Source organism: Homo sapiens, chromosome 8, assembly GCF_000001405.40.
Source record: "Homo sapiens chromosome 8, GRCh38.p14 Primary Assembly".
Classification (NCBI taxonomy): domain Eukaryota; kingdom Metazoa; phylum Chordata; class Mammalia; order Primates; family Hominidae; genus Homo; species Homo sapiens.
Window position 1 is genome coordinate 5,207,249 of NC_000008.11, and position 7,898 is coordinate 5,215,146.

The 7,898-nt window shown below is 34.1% G+C and overlaps 2 annotated features.

Annotated features, from left to right (window-relative positions):
* Positions 749 to 918: an enhancer, noted in NCBI's record as "experimental_103308 CRE fragment used in MPRA reporter constructs". NCBI's record gives its function as "activates a minimal promoter by MPRAs in K562 erythroleukemia cells, with activity observed for both the introgressed and non-introgressed 8:5065604 variant alleles {active_cell/tissue: K562}" and the evidence as "EXISTENCE:reporter gene assay evidence [ECO:0000049][PMID:34662402]".
* Positions 5,311 to 5,826: an enhancer, noted in NCBI's record as "OCT4-NANOG hESC enhancer chr8:5070081-5070596 (GRCh37/hg19 assembly coordinates)". NCBI's record gives its function as "activates a minimal SCP1, AML or CMV promoter by ChIP-STARR-seq in naive and primed H9 embryonic stem cells {active_cell/tissue: H9 hESC(naive and primed)}" and the evidence as "EXISTENCE:reporter gene assay evidence [ECO:0000049][PMID:30033119]".

A 7,898-nucleotide genomic window follows, 5' to 3' on the forward strand; every position in this document is an offset into this window, starting at 1 on the left:
CTCCCTCTTGCTGACAGATATATATGGAATTCTGTAGAAGGCATTCCAAGGCAAGGGTGTTTTTGTCATTTAAGTCTGCTCAGGTCTCTGCCATGACTTATCCATGTCCCGATTTGCAAGGCAGCTTTCAATGTAGCTCCCTGTGAATCCTTTTAGGTACTGGCTTATTTACTGCTTCCTGCTGCAGCCAGGGCTCACTCTGTGACTCTACTTAGTGTGATTCAAAAAATGGGTTTAACAGAGCATGCTTGGTATTTTGGTATCTTTGACCATATGACACTGTGGATAAAATAATCCATATATATCACATCCACTAGCACAAGACGGTAGTTGTGTTTGTCAATGTACATTTGTCTAATGCCCTCTCCTTTTTGGAGACTTGCCAGTGCTTACAATGACAGAAAAAGACATCTAGGCATTATTAGCCTATGGTAGAAGTAGGTTTCCAGGGAGCTGAGGAGCATGGTTGCCCATGGTGATTGGCCATTTTTGTCAAAGACTTAGTTGGAAGCAAGCCCAGAACTTTCTATTTATTTGCATTCTATTCAACACTTTGTGCTGTACCGGGGTTAAATGAGTAATAAATCTGAAACTAACTTTACCCAAAATGAATTTATCCTTTAAAGAGCTGCGAGGCTTACTCCTTGGATCAGCAATAAACAGGAAACATCTAAATCTAAGGCTGCCTTTAATTCACATACCAGGTTAACATAAAATGTTTCTGACAAAGTGTGGGGCTTAGTGACACTTCAACTCTCCTTATGTTACTGAAACAAAATTCATTAAAGCCACTCTGAAAAGTGCAAAGAAAGATCTTATTAAACTTCTATTATCTAAGTTTAACTCTCTATCATCCTTCTTTTCTTGATCTTTCAACTCTTAGAACAGAAAAAAAAAGAAGACATACAGATGCATGCATGCACATGCAGAGAGAGAGAGAAAGAGAGAGAGAGAGAGGTGTATTTATTCTTTAAAAAGGTCATAACGGTAGTCTATCATGTTAAAAAATAAAACATTATATTGTCTATACCCTAACACTCTATCCCTTTCTCAAAATAGTTCTAATTATAACATTATCTCCTGCTTTAAATACAAAACTTTTTTAAAAATTAGAAATGTTTTAGAGAAAACTATAGGCTAAATATAAACTGAAACTAAATTGTAACATTATATTGATTTAAACAAATGATGTGTTTTTACTTGGAAAATCACATAACCTATAAAAAAAGGTTGAGTCAACTTTAGTAGTGATGGGATAACACTTGACTGCATGGAAGATAGGAAAAAGGGATGATGAAATTAAAACAACAAACTGCCTTTATTTCATTACCTTTTAAATTATCCTTTAAATGTCAGTGCATTTACAATGTGCACCTAAATTTTACGGATTTTTTTTAACTAATATCAATGAGAAGAATCTTAAAATGGAAATTATTCAGGAGTGAAGTAGGAAGTAATGTACTGAAATGGAATGCACCCTGAATTTGGAATTTGAAACCTTGATTGCTCATTTAGCCCTTGCTTACTGCTCCTTTGATAGCTGAGATTAGTTGAAATTTACTTTGATTATTTGCTAGTGGGAGTAATAAGGTATACTTTTCTCAGAGTTATCATAAGAATTTATTCACTGCAAGAAATTAGTCACACGTGTCTGGGACCATATCTGGCTAGCAATAGACATAGAGAATGCAAGAACAGAAATGCATGCATATCCCTGGAGAGGATACCCTTAGGTAGAATGGTTATCATTTAAAAATTACTTCTTTTTGTAGCTTTCCCTTTGGAAATTGAGTTTAGGCTGAAGATGGCTTGAAAATGAGGTGAGAACTTCACTTTGAATTCTTTGCCTTATGGTAGCAAGTTGAGTTCTCACTCAGAAGTCAAATACATGCAATCTAAAATCCAAACTCACAACCTAGCTATCACAGACTTGCCTTCTCACCCCAAAGAATTACAAAACCTTGACAACTTATCTAAAAACAACTGCCTTTATATCACTGTAGATAGCACACAACACAGGGTGGAAAGGTGAGCAGCTTTTACAATAAGGAAATTTCCAAAGGAGAGAGGGAAGGGAGCCAAAGAAGGAGACTCCATGATAGGTGTAAAATTTACCCTCGAGTATCTGGCTTCATGAGGAGGATGGCTGCAGGGGCTGCTGAGATGATGAGAGGTGTTGGTAGCCGCACAGTGAACAGGACACGGTAGAGTTTAAACTCAGGCAGAGAGGAATCTCCTTAGAGGAAATCCCAGGGTGTTTTTTGTTTGTTTGTTTGTTTGTTTTTCCGGAGTTTTTTGCTCTGGTTGCCTAGGCTGGGGTGCAATGGCACAATCTCGGCTCACTGCAACCTGCGCCTCCTGGGTTCAAGCAATTCTCCTGCCTCAGCCTCCTGAGTAGCCGGGATTACAGGCATGCACCACCATGCCCAGCTAATTTTTTGTATTTTTAGTAGACACGTGGTTTCACTGTGTTGTTCAGGCGGGTCTCGAACTCCTGACCTTGTGATCCGCCCGCCTCGGCCTCCCAAAGTGCTGGGATTACAGGCGTGAGTCACCGTGCCCAGCCACCACAGGTTTTTATTTAAGTCTCAGGAAAGATCAGGCCCTGGGTGAAGGTGCCATACTGAACACCCAGAATCACTTTTCTGAGGTGCTTATGTGGTTAAGGAAGAGATAAAATTACAACTTTAAAGCAGAATACAGTAATACATCGAAGGAAAGTTTTGTAATATTGTAAAAGTATCTTCAACTAAAAAGATAATACCCATGCACATTTAAAAAACGAACTATTTTTGATGTCTGACTGCTGAGTGCTTTCAAGGCGAACCCTTCTGCTCCTGCTCTACCTGGCTCACCCATGGGCAAGCTGACACACAAGCCAGGGTCCCCAGCCTTGGGCTCCATCAGGAAGTTCGAGCCAGGCAGGCACAGCCCACGTGTGGGAACCCTCATGGGTTCCCCACAGAATCCACCAAACTCCATGCTAGTCCCCGTTTCCCGCTTTTTAAGCCATTTTGGACGGTATCGGAGCTCACCCTGCCCTTGCAGGAAAGCCTCATTATGTGAATAGTAAACATCTTCCTACACTCTCGGCACCTGTGCGGAGTCATCACTCTCTACCTCCAAGTAAAATTTTGGGAGTGGAGCCCACCCTGTTAGTGTGGAGAGAACACAACAACTGTAAAAATAATGCTATATTAATGATAATAATAATTATAATGATTTAATACTTCATTGATTAAGATAAAAAAGGAGACACAACCATGAGAGATTGTTAATAATTTTCTATTAGAATACTTTATAATAAAATTTACCAGTTGTATAATTTAAATACATATAGTTTGTTCTGTGCCAATTATAGTTCAACAAAGTTGATTAAAGGAAAATATTTTGAAACTAGATAAACTGAATTTAGAAATCCAGATACATAAAATTTACAACAGGTCCTTTTCAATACAAGATGTAGAAAAACTTAAACAACAAAGGGGCAAGGGTTTATCCTGCACTTTCAAACCAAAAATAGTTATCAGATGTGGCTATATTAGCATCAGATAAAAATATGTAGGGTAAGAAGTATTAAGATAGATAATGAAAGATCTTTTATATTAACAAAGGGTTTAATAATTAGAAATACATAAGACTTATACGTGGGGACAATTAATAACAATTTCAAGGCATAGAATATAGAAAGAAATTAGATAAGAAGTAGATAATCCTGGAATTATGTTTAGGAATTTTAACATATATCCTCAGCAAGTGATAAGAAAAATGGTTAGAAAAGCACTAATACAGTAGAAAATTTAAACATAAAGGTGAACTGACTTGTATTAATTGATATTTTTGGAAGGCTATATATCCAACAAGTAGAGCATGCAAATTCTCCTAATACATAGACAACCCATTGACCAAAATAGACCATATATCTGGCAAGGGAGCACACATTGTATGTTTTAATGTTTTAAGTCATTCAGTAAATTTTTTGACTTCAGTAGAATTAAATAAAAATCAAGAATAGAAAGATAACTAAAAGATCAACATCACTGCAAATTAACAAACACATTTAAAAATAACTCATTAAAGAATAAAAGTACAAAGGAGTTAAAAAATGCTTTAAGTTGCATGATAATAAGCATCGGACATGCAGCCAAACCATATTTTATAGGAAAAGTTATAGCTTTAAATGCATATACTAGAGAAGAAAATTTAAAAGCCATAAAATAAAGGATCTTGCCTTTAGCTAAGAACCATATAAATAACAGCAAATTAAGTCCACAGAAATAAGATGGCGCAAAATAATAAACACGAAAACAGCAGTAAATAAAATTTTAAAAACAAATAAAATAGAAAAAAATCAATACAGCCAGAAATATGTTCTTTGAAAAGATTAATAAAATTCATAAATCTCCAGCATGACTAACAGAAAAATGAAGAAAAAACAATTACAAATACCAAGAATGAAATAGAGGTTCCCACTACAAATACTACAGATATCTGAGTGACAAAGGAGAGTTATTTTTAATAAGTTTATCATAATAGATTTGAAAATTTTTATGATGTTTGCTGATCCTTTGGAAAAATATAACATAAAAATTGATACCAGGAAAAATAGAAAATATGAACAGTCTATGTCTTTAAATAAATTGAAACCATAATTAATACATTTTCATAAAGAAAACTTCAGGCTCAGATATTTTCAAAGGTGAATTCTCAAAATTTGTGAGAGAGATAATATTAAACTTGCTTGAATATTGCAGAGGATAGAAAACAGAATATTTCCAAATGCATTTTACAAGACTAGCAAAAGCTTGATAGCAAAACTTCATAAGGGCATTTCACTGAAGGAAAATTACTGGGCAATACCTCTCATGAATACGTATATATTCATATCTATATACATATATATGTTCTCATATATTTTGTCTTATATATTCTTATATATAGATATATACGATTATATATTATATTCTTATATATTCTCTCATTATATATTCACAAACACACACACACAAGAATACTAAAGAAAATACTAGCAAATAGAATGTGCTTATGTATGAAATAATTAATAAATGATAAATAATAAAAAGGTATATAATAATGGAATGTATTCCAAAAATATGGTTTATTTAATATATTAAAAACAAATGAATGTAATTTATCACATTTAATTGAATAAATAATAAAATAGTAATTTAATATAAAAAAGGATTTCATAAATAAAAAATCATGATTAAATTCTCAGCAAATCAGGAATAGAGGGGAACTTTTGCAATCTGATAAAGAACATGTTATAAAAATGACAGCTAACATCATACTTCATACTTAATGAGGAAATTTCAGAAGCTTTTTTCTTATGATTCTGTATAAAACATGGATGAGTATGTCCGTGAAAAGAGTCAAACTCTCTAAAATATTTGAAGAGATGCATTCTGAGCCAAATATGAGTGCCCATGGCCGGTGACACAGCCCTCAGCAGGTCCTGGGAACATGTGCCCAAGGAGGTCGGGGCGCAGCTTGATTTCATACAATTTAGGGAGGCATGAGACATCAATCAAATACATTTAAGAAATACATAAGGTGGGACAACTGGAAGTGTGTTGTGGGGGGTCTGCCAGGCTAGACCTGGTAAGGTAAGTTTAAAGATTTTCTTTAAACTGGTTGAGCTTGTCTAAAGACCTGGGATCATAGAACGTAAATGTTCAAGTTAAGATAAAAGAGTATGGAGACCAAGGTTCTTCTGAAGTCTTATAGTGGCTGCTCTTAGAGACAATAGATGACAAATGTGTTCTATTCAGATCTTTAAAAGGTGCTAGACTCTCTTAGTTAATCTCATTAGGATTGGGAGGGCCTGAAAGAAAAAGATCTAGCTATGTTAATAGAGATTTTTTACAGATGCAGATTTTCCCTCACAAAGGGCAGTTTTGCAGGGCCATTTCAAGATACGGCAAAGAAACATGTTTTGGGGTAAAATATTTTGAGTTTCTTCTTTGTCACATAATGTTATGCCAGAGTCAGACTGGAAAGTAAATCATGGTATATAGGATTAAATAAGACACATCTGATGAGAATTTGTGGCTTATAGGGCCTGACTCTCCAGACCCCTTAGATAGGAATTTGGGCAAGATAAAAAAAAAAATCAGAGCTTAGTCCTCAAGTACTACCATTCCAAACCCAATTTGTACAAAAGCCCCTAAATAGAAAATAATGTGAGACAGAGTGAAATAAAACGCAATCTAAAATATTATTCAGTCTACTATAACAACAAACGAACTCAATGAGGTTCCTGGAAACAAAATCAGTACAAAAATAATCCATTTTATTTGCATGTATCAGCAAGACAGAGGGAACAAAATACAAAACACCTACTATAGCAGTATTTGAAAAACATCAAGTACTTAGAAATGAGTGAACTAAAATATGAGCAGGATTAATATGCTGTAAATTGAGAAATATTCTTGAGAAAAACTCAAGGACACCCACATCAATGGAGAGAACTGTATAATGTTCATGCATCAGATAACTTTATACATGCCAATTTTTCCAAATTCATCTATGGATTCAATAAGATAAAAGTTAAATTAAGCAAGCCATCTGAGAAGATTAACATTACTATTAATTTATATGGAAATACAAAGATCTACTACTAGGCATGGCTATCTTCAAGTTCAAAGGTAGAGGTCACACACTACCAGATAATAAGGCTTTTTGTAAAGATCCAGAATTTAGGAGTATTTGGTATTGACAAATAGATCAATGGGACAGACTTGAGTGTCCAGAAATAAACCCAGTCACATAAGTTAATCTGATTTTATAACAAAGGCATAATTGGCAGTTCAACTGAGAATGACTAGTCTTCTCAATTAATTGTATTGAATCACTTGGATAATTATTTTAAACACTGGCAAAATTTAACTTGTGATGGATCATTGACTTAAAGTTAGTAAGTTAAACTTTCAAGCTTCTAAAGAAAAACAGCTAGGTGGATAGGTTTATTATTAAGATAGAAAGAGGAATTTGTTAAATAGGACTGAGAAAGCATTTTGCATAAATGATTGACTTAAAGAATAGTTTTTCACTCATCAAAATATCATAAGTAAGTGAAAAGTCAGCCACAAACTGGGATAAAATATTTGTAATATATTCATTTGATAATGGACTCATCTCCATAAAATATATAGAACTATTTCAAATCAATAATAAAAGAGAGACAACTCAATTAAAAAATGAGCAAATGTCTTCAATAAAGGATTTACAAAGGAGAATATCAAAATACCCATTAACATGTAACAAGTTGTTAAACATGATTATTCATCAGACAAGTAGAAATTTAAAAGTAACAAGGAGATACTAATTAATCCTACCACAATAGCATAAATTTAGAAGACAGATAACACCCAGAATCTAAAACAATGACAACTCTCATACCTTTTTGATTTGAGATAAGTAGATGACAGCTATCGAAGAAACCTAAGCAGGACCTGGACAGCTAAACACTGGCATAAATTACAAACCAATAATTCTACTCTTGAATATAGCAAGCCTAACAAAATGATGGATTTTGGCTATGAAAATACACAACATACAGGAATGTTAATACCAACTTTATTTATAATAGCCTCAGATGGGATCAAGTCAATATTGATTAATGGTAGAATGGTAAGTTGGGGTATAGCCATGCAATGGAATAGCACACAGCACTATACTGATTCGACAACATGAAAAAAATCTGACGGATATATTAGTGAATAAAATAATAAGACAGAAGATATACAGTGCATAAGACAATGTAGTCCAAGGAAAGGAAAAAATAATCTATAGAGATTGACTGCCTTGCACGGTTTGTATGAGTTGTTAGGGGCATAAAAAGGCTTTCTTGGGTCCTGGAATAGTCTCATAATTAA